The sequence below is a fragment of the Homo sapiens genome, chromosome 4 (genome assembly GCF_000001405.40).
Source record: "Homo sapiens chromosome 4, GRCh38.p14 Primary Assembly".
Classification (NCBI taxonomy): domain Eukaryota; kingdom Metazoa; phylum Chordata; class Mammalia; order Primates; family Hominidae; genus Homo; species Homo sapiens.
Genome location: NC_000004.12, coordinates 163,684,812 through 163,706,187, shown reverse-complemented (window position 1 = coordinate 163,706,187; position 21,376 = coordinate 163,684,812). Strand labels below are relative to the sequence as shown.

The 21,376-nt window shown below is 35.4% G+C and overlaps 1 protein-coding gene and 1 long non-coding RNA gene across 7 annotated transcripts in view, besides 1 other annotated feature; one reads left to right on the top strand and one right to left on the bottom strand.

Moving 5' to 3' along the window:
* Nucleotides 1-21,376, top strand: part of MARCHF1 (membrane associated ring-CH-type finger 1) — an 859,722-nt gene that overhangs the window by 677,832 nt on the left and 160,514 nt on the right. For all 6 annotated transcript variants that reach the window (XM_017008336.2, XM_017008335.2, NM_001166373.2 and 3 more), the window contains one exon: nt 5,325-5,375. In XM_017008336.2, coding sequence (XP_016863825.1) covers nt 5,325-5,375 — 51 coding nt within the window. The remainder of the gene's footprint in view (nt 1-5,324; nt 5,376-21,376) is intronic.
* LOC107986325 (uncharacterized) overlaps nt 8,474-21,376 on the bottom strand; it is a 30,340-nt gene continuing 17,437 nt past the window's right edge. Inside the window, exons 2-3 of the long non-coding RNA XR_001741915.3 lie at nt 11,963-12,058; nt 8,474-8,542 (exon numbers count right to left, since the gene is read on the bottom strand). This is a non-coding gene — a long non-coding RNA (uncharacterized LOC107986325). The remainder of the gene's footprint in view (nt 8,543-11,962; nt 12,059-21,376) is intronic.
* Nucleotides 11,436-12,635: an enhancer, noted in NCBI's record as "BRD4-independent group 4 enhancer chr4:164614705-164615904 (GRCh37/hg19 assembly coordinates)". NCBI's record gives its function as "activates an origin of replication core promoter dependent on BRD2, P300/CBP, MED14 and CDK7 cofactors, and independent of BRD4, by STARR-seq in HCT116 cells {active_cell/tissue: HCT116}" and the evidence as "EXISTENCE:reporter gene assay evidence [ECO:0000049][PMID:35650434]".

Sequence of the window (21,376 nt, the reverse complement as noted above, 5' to 3'; positions counted from 1 at the left end):
CATGTGACAGTCAGGAAACTGACAATTGTTAGTTCTGGTCACATCTCACTGGAGGAAATTTGACCTTAGGCAACCTATAACCAAAGGAAGGCTGGGAGATATAATGCCACTGTGAAGGTGTATATTCAGTTATTATTCCCTTAATGCACAAGCAAGAGATAATGGATTTTAGGAAACCTAGTAGACTCTGCCATTATCTAATTGTCATGTATCTAAGTACTGTAATAAAGTCTAATTAGCTGCAGTGGTTTTGTTTCTTAACCAGAGACACTTGGGATTTCTAAGATGTTATGTCATTAATAAGAAAGGAGTGTTGTATTGCTTCTTTTTCAACACCTTTTCTACCAAATACTCCATTTCCTTGTTATATTTGCTAAAAACTCTAAAACAAGTTGAATAATTATAGCAAGCACCCCTAATAGAGGTTCTATAATTTTTGTAGTTTCTGTATTTTAACAATTAGCATTATATTTTGTAGTGTTTTTTAGAATATTGTCTTTATTACTATAAGGGGTTTCCTTCAATTCTTGTTTTACTTAGAGCTTATGTTAGAATAAGACTGCCAAAGTTTGTCAAATATCTTTCCAGAATTTAGTTATAAAATCATAATGTTTGTCTCTTTCAATGTATTAATCTAACGGATTATGTTGACAGGTGTCCTGAGTTTTTAAAACCTGAAATAAGTAAATTCTATTTATTCTATTCTTTGGGAATTTTAGTGATACACTGCTCATGTATCAAAGACATATGCTATTATCAAAATATACACTAATTTTTAACATTTTCTGCATCTGTAGTTCCAAATGAGAGCAAGGCACAATTTTCTTTTTTCCTTTTTTTTTCCTACTGGTTTTTTTTGGTGGGGTAGGGAGTACTATCTTAACACATCTGAAGTTTCATTTACGCCATGTTAATAATATGGATTAGGGATATTTATGTTTCTATGACAATAATAGTATACGTAATATTGGAATTATGTGTTCTTTAAAGTAAAATACAGCTCGGTTGTAAAATCAGCATGCCCTTATCCATTTTAGGAGCATATAGACTTTTATTTACTTTTTGAATATTTCCTTGATTAACTATCTTATGTTTTTCTCTTTTTCTTGAACAAATTCTGGGAATTTTTGCTTTACTTAAATATAATGTGTTTCCTCTAGGTTTTCATATTTGTTGCAATAATGTTACATGTAGCATTCTTTTTATATAGTTTTTTGTGTCTATGATTATGTATCATTTCTGATATCATTTTTTTTGTTCTCTCTTTCCCTTAATAAGTCTTATGGGAAGTTCATCTATTTTGCAATTATTTCAAAGACTTCCTTTAAGAAAATCTTTTTATCCTTTCTCTAACTTAAATCAATTTAATTAGTTTTAGCTTTTATGTTTCTTTTATTACGTTCTTGTGTTCTTTAATAATGAAAACATTTACAGTTATAAACTGTTATCTGGATACAGCTTTTGCTATATGCTATAGGTTTTAATATTATATATTCTATAGCTTCTGGCTCTATTTCAGAGTTTTCATTCCTTTGGACCAAGTATTATATAAAAGTATCTTAGTTAATTGTCAGGCGATTAAGACTTACGAGTCACTTTTCAAAATTGGATTTCTAATTGTATTGGCTCAATATTGAAAAAAAAAGACCCTGTAAAGTCTCTACTTGGACATATTTGTTAAGCTATTATTTAAGGTCAAATAATTTTTAAATGTTTCATAGACATTAAATGTTTATAACTTAATAGGTATGAGATTTTTTATATATCTTTTAATCAAATTTTATTGCAGTATTCAATTTCCCTATGTCCTTGCTTATTTTTTATTTACAAACCACATTGTTTAAGACTTTTCTTCTATTCCAAGTTATAATTACCCTAGCAAAAACTGCTCTATTGTCTACTTAAAATTTTTCAGATGACCCTCCAAATTACCTTAGTTTCTCCTTTCAAATACTTGGGATTTTTAACCTGAAAAAAGGGGGGAAATAAAATTGCAGAATATCAGATTAGTGGTCTCTGTAAGAATGTCTTAGTGTGTTTTTTTTTGCAGAAATATTTATTTTTTTTTCATATTACATTAAAAAAAAACTTTTTTAAGCTTTATTATGTCCCTCAGTCAATGACATAGTATACAGAAAGTTTATACCTAGATTCACACATGTCCAGTCATGTTGTGTATTGTTAGGACAGACCACTTCGTTTTAAAGGAACTGTGTCACTTTCCTTAGACTCTAACATTAAAAATTCGTTAAAACAAAACTTGGTAATGATTTTCTCATTTGGTAATCATTTTTCCTTGCTAGTAAAAAGAATCCAACCATGTTTAGTAGGATCAACTTTGAAAAACGATAATAGTCACAAAACAGAACTATTAATATCAGACACATTCATAGCAAACCAAAAATTAGAAACTTCTTGAAAATATTTTCAATAAAACTTAGGAAACTGGAAGTCTCTCTCCCTGTCTGTATACTATGAATGACATGCTGAAATCCAACATTACTGCTTAATGATCCTCTCCATTCCACGCAGACTTGTTAGGAACTCTTGTTGCTTCCAACTTTTATTGACCTACAAGGTCACTATAATTTGGGTGCCAGTAAGTTATGTTAGATTCTGAGATTCTGAGACAGCTTATTTTTAATCTAAGGTAAAGTAGTTAAACTGATTGTAATGAGGTATGACAACCATATTGACTAATCTTCAAAGAAGAGTATGACATTGCAATAGTAATGGGACAAGCCACCCAATTAATTAGTAGCAAATTGGACAGATTGCTTTGGACGTTTTCCAAGAGAGGAAATGTTTCTGGTGCTTTGCTTCAAAAGCAAGGCAAACCAATTTTCTTAATCCCCCTGGGCAGAGAATGATTTAATTTTTAATTTTTAAATTTTATGTGCCAGAATCAAAGGCAGAATTGCAAGATATAGAAAATAAGATGTTTATGTAAAAAAAAAAATTGTATAGTGACCTATGATGATCACCATGATTTTTAAAGAAAGCTCTTTCAGTGTTTCTTATACCTGTGAATTATAATGGAAATATCATAACTTCACAATTTATAAAATGTTTTCATTTATAACTCATTTGTTCCTTACACAGATTTCCAAGATATTATCTCCCCAATTTTACAATGAGGAAATTGAAGTCCAGGAATGTCAAACAATGTACTCCTGCCAGAATTAGCACATCACTAGAGTTCTCATTGCAAGGCAGTCTCTCAGTTTACATCACTGCCAGCACAGCATAGCGTACACCACTGTCCTACCACGTGTTAACTTTTCTGATGCACTTTCCTCTTCCATGTACTGGTGTAGAAACAATAGAGAACGTAGCCGTGGCAAAAAGGTTAACCTTTGCCTAAGTTTGTTTATTTCAATGCCTGACCTTATATTGGGAGAAAATAAAGCCAATCCATTTCAAGTTAAAAGATCCTTTGAAGTATTAAATAATCAATCAGATGCTTTTCCCCCATTAGATTGGCAGATGCTGGTAGAGAGTGTGGAAATAATATTCTTATTATAACTGTGTGGTGAACTCACACATTGTAAAGTGAATCTGGCCTTTCTTGTTTTATCTCAAAACACCATAAAGTCCCATTCAGTGTGAAAAATTAAGTAATCCTATGCAAAATTAAATTTCTTATTTTGCGTGATTCCTGTGGCAGCACCTTTCAATTCTAGTTCTTAATCATGTTCTCAAATGTCATGTAAATATAGAAAACATAACAAAATAACCACTGCTACCAGTCTCTCCCAAAGCCTATTATATTATGTGACTCTGTCCTACACAATAATGTGTCAAAATCCTAAATTTCACTGAGAAGGAAAGATGGATTGATTTTGTTTTCTAGTCTCTAGAAGAGGAGTTGAGACGTCAGTAGAAAAGTGCCTCCCTCCATCACCAGTGGAGCTAATCAGGGAAAAATGTCTGTGGTAGCATATACATTAATCTCCAGCTGGAGCATGGGGCTGTTATGAGCTGTAACTAACCGTATCGTTGTGACTCATCTCGGTCTGTAATAACATGCTCCACAGTGACATCAGTGGTTGTATGAGATGGATGTTGCATGTAAAGGAAAAAGTACTGTTCAGCTGGAATATCTGTAAGCCTGCACATGACACAGTGACAGTTTGCAGTGAATGCAGCCACTGTTTTTCTGCAATAACACATCTGCCATATCCTGTCATCACTGTGTCTCTAAAACTGTCTCAAGTAGTCATCATGGGCAATTTCAGCCCCACGGGTTGTTATAACAACTTAGTTCTCAAAAATGACCTATGTCAAGATGCATTGCAGTTGCCTACTCAGGCCCACTTTGGGGCTGAGTCCAGAAGTTAAAAAAAAAACAAAAGGAATTCTTACATTGGTAAATTATTTCAATGACAATGTTATGTCAGATCCTTTATAAACTTTTAGTATTCAGAATTGATTGTTCCAACAACATTTTCTCTACAGAAGTAGAGGTGTCCTTTGATCTTTGATCTCTTTCTACATGTAGAATGCATAATGCTTATAAACTCTGATTTTTCCAGTTGATCATCTATCAGCACATAATTGGCAGAGTAGAAAAAGTAGCTATATAATTTTCAGGAACACAATGTCTCTGGGCTTCAAACGGGAGGGCCCAACTACTTAAGGTCCATTTCTACTTTAAAATTATATGACCTTTTAAAAAACATTTATTCAAAAGCTTTTTTCATGCCTCTTTTCTGCTAAATAAAAAAATTCTTTAAGAGGAAAGAACTGAGGATATAAATATTTATAAAAGTTTTAAGTTTTAATTGAAACATATACAGTCAGAAGCATCTTAAATTTTAAAAAGTAAATGTTTTAATTTCAGAGTATGTAAAATAACAAAAAATAAATAAAATGCAGTTTAGAAGAATACGAGGTGGATGTATATAGCATATACCCAGCACAGAATATTTAATGATATTGAAAACCAGAATTGACTCAAACTTTCCTAGTTGCAAGGGCAAGAGGGGAAATGGTAGACTACAGTTTTACTGTCTAATTTTAGTGCCGAAGAATTTCAAAAATTTTTCTGGAGAAATAATTATTTCCTGGAAACAAATACTTGTAACCTGATTAATACTCAGATATTAATTGAAGCATTTTTAAAGTACACTAATATATATTAGAGAAATATGATTTCATAAAAGAAAAAAGCATTCTGTGTAAGCAATTAATATGTGTATTAGTCAAAACAATATAGAGAGCATTCACAGATTTCCTTGTGCTGTGGTTTCTCTTCTCAGTGGTACAGTATGGTGAAAGTACCATACCTTCTTTTAATTAATGTTTCCCATTTTATTTTTCAGAATGAAAAATCCCCAGGGCGATCTGCAAGTCGATCAAGTAACATTTCAAAAGTAGGTGAAGTACTCATTTTCTTGTTTGTTGACTTCTGCACTTCATGAGTTCACATAAATGTTTATAATGTTTAACCTATAATTGTTATCTGTGAGCAGAACACAAATGTGATTTGTTCATGGTTTTAACTCTTTTAAGCTTTTACTGTAATAAGAAGACATGATTTTACGCAAGAAAATAAGTAGGCTATTTTTTCTTTTTCCATGCTGTGTGCAAGAGATAATTTCCTTCCTTCCTTCCTTCCTTCCTTCCTTCCTTCCTTCCTTCCTTCCTTCCTTCCTTCTTTCTTTCTTTCTATCTATCTTTTTAGACAGAGTCTTACTCTGTCGCCCCAGCTGGTATGCAGTGGTGAGATCTTGGCTCACTGCAACCTCCGCCTTCTGGGTTCAAGCGATTCTCCTGCCTCAGCCTCCTGAGTAGCTGGGATTACCGGTGCCCACCACCATGCCCAGCTAATTTTTGTATTTTTAGTAGAGATGGGGTTTCGCCATGTTGACCAGGCTAGTCTAGAACTCCTGAGCTCATGATCCACCCTCCTCAGCCTCCCAAAGTATTGGGATTACAGGAGTGAGCCACCATGTCTGGCCAATTTGCTACTGTCATAGTATTATGTAAAGTATGTTTTTTCTCTCATTTCAAACACCATAGATCTGCCACATATCCAAGTTGAAACTATATCAACATTCATGGTATAATTCTTATGAATTTAATTTTTCTGGACTTTGGGCTGAACTCTGGGGGAATTTAACTATTTTTGTCACCAAGGCAAGTTTTAGAAATCAATTTGATAAAAACATCAGTTTGGCCATATTTAGAGGTTGTAGAGTCAGTGGATTAAAAAAAAAAAACAAAATATTCCCTAGACTGTATATAAATCTAAGTAGGACCCCAGAGTGTTGAAAAGATTATCGTTTGAGAGACATACTCTAGATTTTATGTTGCCTGAAAAAACAAAATGTAAGAGCTATTCTTTAAAATGAGTCGCCATGTGATATATACACCTGGTGCTTGGGAAGTGAAAAGTAATTTAGAGTCATTTGTCAAAATGGAAAACAATGACTTTCAAAAATATAATTAGAAGCAAGATGGATTTGTCACCATTAGAGATTCCATTTCAAGGCTTCTCAATTGCCAGGACCCCTCCACATTCCTGAAATTAACTTTATATTAGTAATTTTATATTACTTTCTTTGAAGAGGATCCCCAAAATAGTCATAATCTTCAGACATTAAAGAAAGTAGATCAACTTCCAATTTAGAGACGTTTTTGTTTTCTTCTCTTCTGTTTTCAGAATCAAAAGGCTTTATAACTCATTAAGAAAAAAATTGTGACCACAGTATCAACATTATCTTATGCTGGTTTCCAAAGCCCAGTTTTTTCAGGACAATGCCAATGGTCAGATAACATCTGCACACACACTGGGATGTTTATAGGAGCAGACCCTAATATTTTAATAAGAGTAAGCATGCCTGCCATTCCTCCATAGGGAGACCATATCTCTGTCTTGCAACACCATCCACTATACTAACATTCTTTAAGATAGTCTAGTATCAGTCAATGTGTGTGCTTGCAAGACATGCAGAGATGTGACAGACACATAGAGAATTGTACCTCAGTGCTTGGTAGTGAACATTTCTAATTACATTCAAATCTATGTCCCTTCAGAGATATTTGAGAGGCAATGTGCCCTACTGGTTAAGAGCACTAACTCTGGAGAGTAAGGATCTGAGTGTAAGTCACCGCTGTGTCGCTTCCGACTTACATGACCCTGAGATGTTCACTTTACCTTCCCGAGACACAGTTGCCTCTTTTATGACATAAGGATGATGATAATATCAGTCACCTGAAGGAGGTTTTCTGAAGTGGTTATAAATTAAAACAATGCCTTTCAAGTATCTATCACCCTAGTTTCACAATGAAGAGATTTGCCTAAACCAAAGAACTCTGTCATCTGTCTCAACTTGAATACTAATGTTGAATAAGTAATGACCAAAAAACTTGTAAACAGTACTGACAACGCCTTTGTCACACCAAATACTGTTTCATGATCTAGGGGTGAAATTATATCTGCATTTCTAAACTGCTCTTTGAGTTTTACTTAATCCAGCCCGTTTATCATGTTTTAGTATTTAATGCTTTAAGAAATCAAAAAAATCCACAGTCTAGTTTCCCTTCTATGAGTTCTTCTTCAGGGTCTGGTATGTATTAATTGTACTTCTGTGTGGGAGACAATTAATTATAAAACTGCATCCTATTTGGAGAGAAATAAAAAAACTCTATTCTTAAACATAACTTAAATTGTACCACAAACACTCAACCATCAACCAGTGATAGGAATAAACAGATTTCAGTGCACATGAGTTTACCTATTTAAACCAACTTAACTTTCCTTTTATGTTCAGAATGAGTCACAATGCTAAATATGTTGTTGAGTCCTCACTACTTTTTCTTAAATTGATAAGTGGAAAACTATTCATTGACTACATAATTTTTCAATCATGAAGTGGCCAAATCTAGAAATACTTAAGTTGTTTAATTTGTAAAGCATTGGAGAGGAAAAATTTAACATTGGAACCAAGATTTTTTCCTTAATTTTGTCAAAATAACTGCTTATGTTGAAAACTGTGAGCATTTCTAGTGTATGAGAATCAGTATAATGGAGTGATTGGATGGACAGCAGAGTAACTCTTAGGAAGGTTATTTAACATCCCTAGTAAGTTTGTCTGTAAAAGGAGCATATATATTAGTATCTACCTCTTGCAGTGGTGCTTAGAACAGTGTTTGGCCTGTGCATTAGCTATTTTTATTATGGGGTTCTTAATATTTTTCTATCAGTGATGGCTTCGAGCAAGTGCTCAATAAATATCTTTTTCAGCCAATAAATTGGAACATGGTCTATAATATATGCAATGTTTTCTAGGTGTAATAATAATAAAATGCAGAGTGGACAGGATTAAGGAAAATGTTAGTGATCTGAAGTTATTTCCTTAAAAAATGCATATTCCTATTTCCATAAAATGTATACATATATTCAACAATAAATAATAAATTGTCTTATGTCAGTAATAGTATTACTCATAATGGGTGTCTTCCTTACCTTTTATCTGCTTATGCCATCTCCTGTCCTTAGACACAGGAAAATCACAGAGAGTACAAAGGACTCCATCTAGAATGGAATGGCAAGATTATCTTTTATATTTCTAAGTCTGCTTTCCTGCCTATTTCTTGCAGTTCTTTAATGAATCAGACTTTCTCATCATCAACATTAGTTGAGTGTCACATATCAGAAATCTTGTTCTATACTGGGAATTATGGAGTAATAATTTAAAACTTTCCTTCCCCATTCCTTAGTGAGCTTACAGTGAAACGGGGTAACTAACAGTGCACAGAAGAGTTCACATAACAGGCATGAGACTCCTATCCTGAGAATAGCCTGTGGCAAGATTAGCCCTTGGCTGACATCTGGAAACTTAGATTCCATAAGTAGTGCTTCACCCTACCTGTTAAGGATGATTCACTGTGCCTGAACTGCAAACAACACAGCTATCCTAAGCACATGCCTTCCTTGTGGGAGTCTGGAGTCTTGGTACATGTGGTTGCCTACACCCTCAGCCCCCAGTAAAAACTTTGAGCACTGAGGCTCTTACGAGCTCCCCTGGTGGCAACACTTCTTCATATGTGTCGTCAAACTCATTGAGCACATCCCAGCACACCCTGCTGGGATGAATTTCTGGAAGCTTGCTCCTGGTTTCCTCTGGACTTCACTCCATCACTCCCTGTGCCTTTTCCCTTTGCTGATTTGCCTTGTATCCTTTGGATACAAGGATACAAATAAATCACAGCCATAAGCATGGGTATATTCTGTCCTGAGTTCTCTCAGAAAGTCACTGAACCTGGGTGTGGTGAATGGAACCCCTAATATGCTACCTAAAAAAGAAGTATAGACAGAAGCTATGGGAATTCGGAGAGCCATCACTTCCATCTAATTGGGACAGGGTAGCAGCAGAGAAAATTTCTTAGAAGCATAGTATGTAAAAAGGCACTTGAAGAATGGGTGTGAATTGATCAACTGTCAGGGAAGGCTGTTTAAAGGGTTATAAGTCCAAGCCATGGAAGCTAGAAAACATAGATCATAAGGAAGAAGTTATATAAAATACTTTGTAAGGGTTTTTGAGATGGAACTTTAAATAATAGAATGCATTATCTTCAGTCTAGTCATAAAGGTCATACAATCTCAATCTATGTGAGACTGTCAAGCTCAATGAGTTTGACAGCTCATGTGAAGAAGTGTCACCTACCAGGGAAGTTCATGAGAGTCTTGGTGCTCAACAGCAGTCACTGAAGTGTCATCTGGCTTAGAAACAGAGAAATTGATCTAGAACCCATCAAGGTCCTTGAGACTTTTCTTAATGAGTATGTATGAAATGGAACATTATTATTTTTGCCATTCAGGACTGTGTCTTATAAACATGATCTTGCTACTGTGAAAGTAAAAAATTCCAAACATGGGATAAATAATAAATGTGCAATTGCTCGTGAACATCAAAAATTATATCTCCTAAGTTTTTACCTCTGGATCTTTGTACCATATATTATTCAACAGCAATTATACTTTGAATTTTATGGTCCTTGCAAAATTTACTTTTTTATTAATTTATATTTCTAGTTTGTCTTAGTAAATATAAGACAGTTACACCTATGATTCTCTCTTTCTTTCTCTTCTTTTTTAATTCAAGTAAGGTTGGTGTGCCTTGGATACGTTACAGTTGATCCAAAAGCTACAGATAAGTTATATAGGTTTACTATAGTATATGTGAGATTATCAAAATATCTTGGATGTGAAAAAGGCAGCTTTCAATTATCCATCACTTAAGTTTTTAATACTTTTTTATATTAGTGCTTGTTACTGCTTTTTAACACACATATTACTCACAAATAGGTTCCTCAAGAAGAAAAGTCAGCCAAATCTTGCCTTTTATTTCTTCTAGGGTAAAGGATCATTACATTTAACTAGCAACAGTGTAATATGTATCTCCCAAGAAAAACCTTTCAAAAGCCAACTGTCAAAAGGAAAGAACGGCTTGTACTTCCAATTCAAGTCAACAGAATTTTCTTTTAAATAAAATCCTTTGCTTTTTGGTGTGTGTAGGAAGCAGCTCACAAAATCTAATCTGTTTATGAGAAGAAATTCAAAAGCCACTAGCTTAACAAAATGATATTTCAGTTAGTTTCCATCATTTCCTATTACATTCACTAGACTTCATTTACATGACAGAGAGTCATTTCAATTCTTCAGTTAGTCTCTACCTTAAAATATCTTACAAAATTTCAAGGTAAAGTTTATAAAATGTGCACACCAGTTAATTCTGCAATAAATAAAGATGCATGGGATAGTCAGTACAATTTCAGTACAATTTACTCAACAAATATTTTTTGATGACGTACTGTGTACAAGGTATTCTATGGTTCACAGCATTTTAAATAGGTGTTTTCTTCTGATCCAATATATACTTTAATTTTACTTCTGTAAATCTTCATCTCTCCATATTTTTCCAGACTTGCCTTTAAGATCCCAAAGTACTTTCCAGCAAGGTCAAGGTGAAAGTGTTTCTTATGTATAAAATGTACTGAGAATTCTTTTCAGCTGAAAACCTGAGCCAAGTGTTTGCACCTCTGAACAGGTGTTTAATGTTCTGATTTATTGAGAGATCCATTTTGGTTTGCTAACACAATGGACCTATAAATCATCTATCCCTTCAGACTATATACCTTTAGAGGGTAAGTTTGGTAGGTTGATGAAGTAAAGTAGGATATATAATTAGGAAATAACTAGAAATGAGGTGGACTAATTTGAGGACTTTCAGAGACCCTGAGTTAAGGTCTGTCCTGAGACCAAAGTTGAGGAAATGGGTATAAATTTAGTTTAATTATTCAAGGGAGAAGATAAGAAAGTCTGAGACCTTCTTATGTCCTGAAGCATGTTATTTATATACACTCACTCCTTGGGCGATCTCATTTAGCCTCATAACTTTATATATAATCAATAGCCCAACAGCTATCAAGATATTTTTAGCTCAAATCTCTGCCATAAATTCCAGACTCAAAATGGTAATCAAATTTCCCACAAAATGTGTAATAGGAATCTGTCTTAGGTCAGGTTTATCACAGCAGATCCTGAGATGATAATTTTTTTGCAATGACTCACTATGAGAATATTCCTAGGACAAGACATCCAAGGAGTAAGAAAGGCAGCCCAGGGAAGAGAAAGAAGTCAGAATTTCCCTGCTCCTGCATAGGGATTCTGGAATGTAAAATGCACTTCACTTTGTCCCCTCTTGAGGCAAGGGAGCAAGGCTTTCATCCTCCAGTATTTGCCATTCATTGGCTCAGGGTCATTCAGGGTGAGAAAAACTCCCAGCCATTTTGATTCTCTTTACATGCAGGTAAACTGTCCAAGAAGCCAAAGGGAAGTTTTCCAAAGAGAATTGCAGTAGTGGGACTTTAGAAACAAAAGCACCCAGAAGCCAAAGGAGATGTGTACTGAACCAGTGAGAGGGACCCAAAGGGATTTTGGTGGAATACTCACAGCACCTGCTGTCGTCCATCCTTTGAGCCACCCAGATCCACATGAACTCATTTCATCCTGTCATGGATTTGTATAGATGATGATTGGCCACCGTTTCTGAGGAGAAACTTAAAAGACATTGATTAGCCGAATGGGCTCTCACTACTTGCAGCTGCAAAGTTATAACTGATTCATCATATCCTTCTTCTGACTCATTCCAAATATCCTTCATTCTTGATGATCACTTCTGTTAGTCTAAGTGGCTTGCTGGTGAAGTGTCTCTGACCTTTGAACCTTATCATGCTGTAGTTGCTGTAATCACTTATTTGAAGTTAAACCTGGGTGTGGGTAAACGAAAATATGCAACAGTGGATTTCCGCAAATTTCAAAATATTTCTTGCTCTCCCAAGTAGCAGCAACCCTACTTTCTTATAATGAGTTAGTTCCATTGTTCAATAAATTGCTGCTCTGCCTACTGGACAATATAACATGTGTTATTAAGCTCATGAGGGATAGTTCCAGTCATATGGTCAACTGATGTCCATACAAAGGCCTTTAGTCTTACTATGGCCAGGTAGCTTGTTAGGAGCTGCTTTCCAAATGGTGAAAGAACTATGCTGCAATAGTATGGCCTTGATCCAGAACACTAGGGTTTTCACTGCAGTTCTCCATTCAGATTTGACAGAGAGCCCACATTGCATTTTTATTTATCATGGTACCTCTAGTAGTATTGCCATTTATTATTGCTGTGGCATCAAGGGTGCTTGTATTGCAGCTGATATTGCTGCAGAACCTTCTATCATTCTAGGCCCCACTCAGAACTGCAGCTTTCTGAGTCATCTGTTAAAGAGGCATCATTCCAAAATGTGGTTTATGCTGTGTTTAAAATTCAAAGAGTTCTACCAAACAGCCTGGGTCCTTCTTGATAGTAAAGTAAAATGCAAAATTTGGTCTTAACTCTGGAAGAAATGCACTAGCATGCAGTAGACTACAGAATTTCTAAAAATTTCACTGATTTGTCCAGCTCCTGAAGATACGTTCGTTTTATTTCCTACTCTCTGGGACACAGATATCCTAACAAAGCATTCAGATTATTGGCCCTTCCTGCTCATTAGACCTCATTATACCTGATGATATCATAAATACAATGGACTGTTCTGATATTTGACAACCACTGGACATTTGAGTCTACCTCCTATCTGTTTTGCAAAATATCCCTGGAACAGGACCATGATTGTATATTAACGTCCATGCCAGATGAATACAAACTGCTTTTGATCCACATTTATGACAAATATTGAAAAGAACACATTCGTGGATTAATAGCCTCATACCACATGCCAGATATTGTGTTGTTCTTCTCTAGTAAAGATATTACATACCGCACACAACAGCTTCAGTTAGTGCTTCTACTTGGTTGCATTTGCCATGATCTACTGTCATTTGCCTGACCTACCAGTTTTCTACAGGGAACAGACCGAGAAGCTAAATGGTGACATGGTGGAAACAATCATCCTTATATTTTTTAAGTCTATTTTTCATACAACAACCAAAATGATCCTTTCCAAATATCAGTTAGCTAATGTCTTGCTGCTGTTCAAAACCTCTAATGGTTTTCTATATTACTTGAAATAAAACATAAATTCTTTCAGGGGCCAAGGAGCCATAATCCAGCCCTGTGGTATCTCGCTAATTTTCTTCTCATTCTTCCTCTTAATAACTCATGTCCAGACACACTGACTTCCTCTTGTTCCTCAAGCATAGGTTTTGTTTTCAGGGCATTTGCCCTTCATGCTGCTGCTGCCCAGAATGCTCATTGCCCACACAGCACTAAGATTGGTTTCCTTGTCTCTGTTACATTTCTACTCAAATACCACTTTATCAGTGAGGACCTATTTCCTTTGCTACTTATTTTTATTTAAGAATTTTATCATAATCTGCAGTATTATATATTTTTTATTGGTTTAACTTCTATGAGGGCAATAACTATTTCTTCACTCAAGGCTGCTTCCTCAGCCCCAGAAGAGGGACTGATAAGTAGGACACACTCAACAAATATATGTTGAATTAATGAATAGAGCCTGCTTTGTTTTGTTAACTTATAATACATAAGTTCTTAACATGGGATCTGTGGACTTATGAGCAATGATCCTTGGGCCACGCCAGTCCGTGAACATGTGACCAATACACACAAGCTTCCTGATCCCGTAGGGAACCTCTGCCAGACAAATTGCACCACATGTTAACCCTCTCTTGAGGAAAAGCAGTCAGTCTCCCCATCTCTGTCAAGCAGCTATTGGCCTGTTGGGGTAGGAGAGTATATAGACTTTTGGCTGAGAAAGTTCCTGTTAGGCCAAAGGTGATTCTCCAGAGAAGGGAGTAGCTATGATCATCAGCCACACAGCAGCTGGGTAATGTGGGCACTGGCCTGTAGTAAACATCTGCGTGGGGAAAAACCTCCACCATTGATGACTGCTTGGACCACTGAGATCCATTTAAGTTTCAAATTAAGTTTGTTTCACCTCAACATAGCTTCTCCAGGATTTTGGTTGGTTACAGTTTGTAGGAAACTTATAAGAAAAGGTTAAGTGGAATGAAACAGAGCCCTCATTGTTGCATCTGGTTCACAGGTCATAACTGATACTCACCATTGTTTTCACCCATTCATTTTAGATTCCTTTCACCTTTTTCCAGCACTTATGCTGCTCTGGGTAGCTTGCCTGAGAAATCTGAGTCCCTGGCTGCCATTCTCTTATCAGGCCATAATTTCTATATTTCTCCACTTACAGCCACACTAGTGCGAGGGAAAGAGATGTCCTAGTATATCACTTGAGGGACATATGTATTTCTCCTGTCACCATTATGTGGCAGAATTTTCTCATGCTGTCATCCATCACCAACATCTGAAGTCTCAGTATCTGACCTACTAACATGGGGCAGGATTCTGCCTAACATGGTCTCTAACCCAGGGATTCACCTTATAGCAAAAAATGGTGTGGCAGTGAATATATGATCATGACATTTACTGGGATTAGCACATAGCCTACCAGCCAGATGCTGCCGGCCTGATACAACAATTCGATAGCCTTTTGAAGATGCTTGAGAGGCATCAGCTTGGAAAAGGCACCCTGGGAAAATGGAGCTAAATCCCTCAGGATGCAGCATATTTTTTGAATCCACAGCCATAAAATGACGCTTTGCCTTATATACTTATAATACTTGGGCCCAAGAACTAACAGGTGCAAGTGACCCTGCTTATCATCACTCCCAGTGGTCGCCTTGGGGAATTTGTGCTTCCCACAGCCAGCGCTTTGGGCTCTGCAGGTTTATAACTTCTGGTTCCCAGAAGGAGATGTAACGCTCCCAAATGAGAACAAAATAAGAGTCCAATAAGCCTAAAGCTTTGATTGATGCCTGGCACTTTGAGCTTCTTATGATAGGAGCCTAGCAAGTCCAGCAATCTGTTACCATTCTAGCTCGCTTTGGTTAGCCTGTTAAATTATGTCTAAGGCTTCCTGTTGTATTCTGGCAGTGATAGGGAGAGGAGAGTATGAAATATATCCCCTCCTTTTTTCTTCAGTAATATGGTCCTTAAATTGTGTAATCTTTATTTATTTGCTGGTTTCTTTCAGCATTAGTCCACATTCAGCTTCTTCAGCCTTTCAGTAACTGGAAGAATGGGAAGCACTTTTTAATGTACTTTTATGTGAACAATGTTTGGATGGCCTCTGAGGAAGGGCTCCATCTCTCGAACAACAACATTTGGCTTCATGGTTTCTAAGGACTTCTTTCAACTCTACCTTTAACTATTGTCAGTGTCTAAAGCCCTGAACAGAATGCCCACTAAGAAGCTAGGATCAATAACATTTTATCTCCTCCAGCACTGTAACAGACAAATACAGTCTTCTTTGAATGTTTAATAAGCTTGCATTCTATTGACACTGTGAACATCTCTTAACAAGAAGACTCTTTTTTGAGGGAAGTCCAAGGTCAAAGCAATTTTAATTGAAAATATTTTTGTTGAAAAACTACATTTGTGGGGTTGAAATTCAGAAATGAGGCTGCAAGTTGGCTCACAAATCAAACACAATGGGACATGGGATTTCTGTTGGCAAGTAGTCTTCATGCTCTGTGTCTCCTTAGCTGAAGAACTCTGGCCTATCACCAGGAGTGTAGACAGCTCAGGTCTCTTGACACAATCCCCAGCCAAGTACAGGCTCCCAAAAACCTCAGAAAAAGGGGTCATGCCAACCACATACTGGGTGAGGACAGGCAGAGCAAGAGCTTAGAGCCAAGATAGTAAGAAACACTGGCAGGGGCAATCTTGACATATAAAATGGACCATTTTAATTTAATTTAAACTCTTTGATAGGGCATTTTAATATGTTTTGTAATTTCCTTTTTTACTATAATATAAATTAGTAGACTTATGACATGAATTTAGGATATCGTGTATTTTAAATATGCCAGATGATGTGAATAGTTCTTACTCATCCCACACATGATAGGACAAGTCTTTCTCCAAGAGTCTGGTCCCTGAAGGTCAAGATGAAAAAGGATTTACTTTAGGAGATGCCTGGGAAAAAAAAAAAATCCACGCAGGTGAATTTACAGTAACAAGTAGTTAGTTATTGACTCTAGAACTGCACTATCCAGTATGGTAGCCATTAGCCATAGGTGACTATTTAAATTCAAACTAGTTGCAATTATATAAAATTTTAAAAATAAGTTCTTCAATTTTGCTGGCCACATTTCAACAGTTCAGTAGCTACAAGTGCTTAGTGATTTCCACATTGGACAATATAGCTATGGAATATTTCTATCATCACAGAAAGTTCTATCAGACAGATATTACTTCTCTAGAAAACATGTTAAACTTTTCTCTAGGAAGAAGTGAATGGTGCCTAAATATTTTCAGTACAGCTAGAAAAATAACCCAAATCTGGACAATATGTGATGATGTTTTCAAGTTCTTACATCCTAATACTTGCCATTCAGCTTTGGTTGAATTAAGGTAATATTTTTCTTAACAAGAAATACTGAAGATTAAAAACTATTGACCATAAATGGTCCCCAGAGAATTAAAGAAACATCTCTAATTGTTGTAACTGTGGTATTGTGGTAATGTTGGAAGTTGTTTTTCCAGGCCAGCAATAAAGCTAATGTGGGTCAGTATTTGCATTTCATAATAACTCAAAAGCAATGAATAACATGGTTTTGTGGTGCTAGGGATGGAACTCATTCCTTGCCACTGACCATCTGTCATATTATACCAAGCAGAAACTAAAACAACCTTGCAATTACAGTTGCTTTTCCAACAGAAGGAATTTATTTTAAACAAGACTGATTCCATTTCATTTATTTCTAATTTTTGCAGATACTCAATAATTCAGTATAACGAATCTCTGATGAAATAAGAGCATACATTCAAAGTCTATCCGTCCATCATTATAGTTTTCTAGGATTTTGGAAGGTGGCATAGAAGACAGTACTCAGAGAGGAATGAATGCTCTCTACTGATACTCTTAGCAATCATTATTTTCTCCGTCTGGATTTTCTTAATTAAAAACTCCGTGCAAGAAAAGTTGTTCTGAGGCCAAATTGGTGTATCTTAAAAAAAATCTGTGAGGTTGATGAACTATACAAACATTCTTTAAATTCATATTATCTAACATAGTAGTTTGGAGGTTGTATCTTTGAGTTTTTCACTTATTTTAAGAAATAATTTTATTTTGCAGATATTCTAACTATGACAATAAGCCACATTTAGATCCATCATCAATAAAGATTGATCACTCAAAGGCTTGGACATATTTTCATTCAAAAACCTCAAGTAAATTAAAGGTGCAATGTTTGAGTTGTTAAAAGTCAAAGAAGTCAGGTTTTTAAAATCATCTTTAATCCATTTAAACAAAAGATGATACGTTGATATGGTCTTCATAGGATTACACCATCTCTTCTTATTATCTCATTTTATTTCTTATATTATTAAGTACTAATGAGCTATTTTAATTTTTTATAACTTCAGCTTTTTTTTTCTTTTTTGTTACAATTGAGTCCTGCTTTTTTGCTTCTTTCAGAAGCTATCACTATCATCCAATATTTGTTTTTCGTGTGGTTTATCACCCCCTATTTTTGAGCTGTTTCCATGTGTCCTACAGTGAGGATAATGTTGGCAGCTGTGTTGTTAATATAATTAATGTGCATAGCCTATTTGGATTGACTAGGCCAAATAAATCCACTTTGAGACATTAACTACCCAATTGGGCTGTCTTTGTTGATCAGATTAACTGGATAATTGTCAAATCTCTATTGCACTAATTACTGCAGAGTCACATCATGTATTCCCTCATTCGATTCTCATTTCATTAAAATTTACAGCCAAAGCTACATGAAGAAATGGTGACATATAAATACATATAAATAGACCAATTTAAGATGGAATTCAATAACCATGTGCATTGTTTCCCTTATTGTCTTTCTACTGAAATAAGAAAGGGAAAGTTATAAGAAGGCATCCTTCTTCCTGTCACCAGAGAGAGGGTGAACCAGAAGAACTCTATATCCACTATACCTAAAACCCATAAAGATAACTTCCTCACAACACATTGAAATTCACAGACTTAATGGCTCTTTATTTTTACCTTTAGCAAATGAAAATATAGTAATTAATTACTTTTTGGTTCATCACAGGCCTTTAATCTACCAGAAAAAAATTAACTGATCTTTAATAAATTATTTATTTTTTCAGCAAAGATCTTTTGTACTTGGTTTGTGCTACATTAAAAGAATATGACTTTGGACCATCCTGGCCAACATGGTGAAACCCCATATCTACTAAAAATACAAAAATTAGCCAGGCGTGGTGGCGGGCACCTGTAGTCCCAGCTACTTGAGAGGCTGAGGCAGGAGAATCCCTTGAACCGGGGAGGTGGAGTTTGCAGTGAGCCGAGATAGCGCCACTGCACTCCAGCCTGGGTGACAGAGCAAGACGGCATCTCAAAAAAAAAAAAAAGATCTGACTTCTCACCTCTTGGAATTTACATTGAACTTGGGGGGTTAGACAGGTAACTCGATGATCACAGTTCCATATTTAAGTACTTTCTTGTTTCCCCAACTTGATATTTCCAATATTTTTAAAGGATTTTGTTTAAAGTAAGAAAAAATGAAATACAAAAATTTCTCTTTGTGGCTGCCCATCTGCAAAATTAGATAAAACACATTTGCCAAGCCCAAAAACAATTTGAAAATCATTAATCTATGCACTGCAAGGTAAATGCTACGTGGTTTGGAGAGACTTCTAATAGAAGATATTTGTTTTGCAAAAACTTACTTGTTCTGAGAACATAACAAGATGACTACAAATAACAAAAATTATTGCAATTATTTAATGACTACAAATATTTCATTTGGTTATCATATTTCTAAGTTTTGCAAAGTTAATTTTAATAGCACACTCATTTTCTGCATGGGCCTACACTGTTTAAAAGAACATTTTTCTTATGTCAGTTGAGTCTTTTCTTTGACTTGTATTTTTAATGGAAAAATACATGACATCAGTAATAATGTTTAATGTTTATTGAATACTATTTGTGAAGTACTGAGTTCAACATTTTAGCTAGGAGATGAAATTTTTCCAAGTAGGTGTTTAGAAAATTAGAGCTTATTATATAGTTTGATAAGTATATATTTAAGGTAGTTAAAGGAGATTTGAAGAAAAATGTTATTAGCTTGGTGCAAAAGTAATTGTGAGTTTTGCCATTTCTTTCAATGGCAAAACCCACAATTACTTTTGCACCAAGCTAATAACAGAAATTTGGTGCCTCCATTCAACTTTCCACTTATCTTATTCCCTATTACGTTTATTCACTCCCATGTGAACCCCAATGAAGAAACAGAGCAACATATAATTTGTAGATAGACCTTTTTCTGCCCAAGTATAACAAGAAGCTTTGTTTGCTGCTTAATGCATAATCAAATTATTTTTTATTATATCTGAGGTAAAAACATTATTTGATATGGAAAATTATTTTATTAACACAACAAAAGATTGAATTTAAAATTTCTGGAGTTTAGAACTTTATTATGTCTTACTAATATTAATAAGATCACTCAGTAAGCATCTGCTATATATAATTTATTAAGCACTTACTATGTGTTAAGCATTCCAGTAGGTACTATACACATGTTATTACTAAACCTGACAAGAACCCTTCTAGACAGATTTACAATTTGAAGATTATGAAACTAAGACTTATACTAAATAATTTGCCCTCAGTCCAAAAACAAGTTAGTGGAAGAGCCTGCATATTTAACCAGGTGCTGTACTCCAGGAGTTATTTGTCCACAGATCAAAGTGCCAAACCACCTCCATAATCCTCTCTGACTTTTCTTCAGTGTGACACACACAAAAGTGTAAATTGGCATCACAGATTATGTAGGACCAATACTATCAAAGAAAAGGGGAGTGATTTCAAAAATAATTGGAGAATTGGCCGGGTGTGGTGGCTCACTCCTGTAATCCCAGCACTTTGGGAGGCTGAGGCAGGTGGATCATCTGAGGTTAGAAGTTTGAGACCAGCCTGGCCAACATGGTAAAGCCCCATCTCTACTAAAATACAAAAATTAGCCTGGGGTGGTGGCGCATGCCTGTAATCCCAGCTGCTTGGGAGGCTGAGACAGGAGAATCGCTTCAACCCAGGAGGCGGAGGTTGCAGTGAGCTGAGTTCACGCTACTGCACTCCAAGCCTGGGTGACAGAGTGAGACTCTGTCTAAGACAATAAAAATAAAAATAAAATAAATAATTGGAGAATTAATGCAGTTGTATTAAGAAAAGATTGGGAGACTTATTTTGCTAGTCAATAGTAAACTATTTGGGTTTCTTGAGAAGGGGAATAGGATAATTAAAATGGAGCTTACTAATATGAGGCATTGTAAACTTGTCACATGTTTAAGATTTATGCATTTCACTACATTAAGTCTTCACTTAACTGCCGTCAAAATGTTCTGAGAAACTGCACCTTTATGCAAAAAAAAAAGTGTAATAAAACCAGATATTTTTTGTCAGAAATGTTGTAATAAAACGATTTTTAATGAAGGGAGTTGAGGACCTACTGTCCATCATTTTTCTTAAAGCCAGTTTCCAAGAACCTATTCACAATGTTAAGCAGGACTTACTGTATATGTAAATTTTACCTAACAAAATAAATGTACACAAATATTCAATGCTGTTTAATAGTTAATGATATGCATTCTGAATTATTTAGGAATGAGGTGTACTTTAGTGTGCAGCTTACTTTGACAGGCATCGTGGAAACAAGATACATTTATGAATGGATAAAGGGATGGATAGCTGAATAAATATGTGATAAAGTAAAATTAGAAAAGTTTCAGAAATGTGGATGTTGGATATACTGATGTTTACTGCATAATTC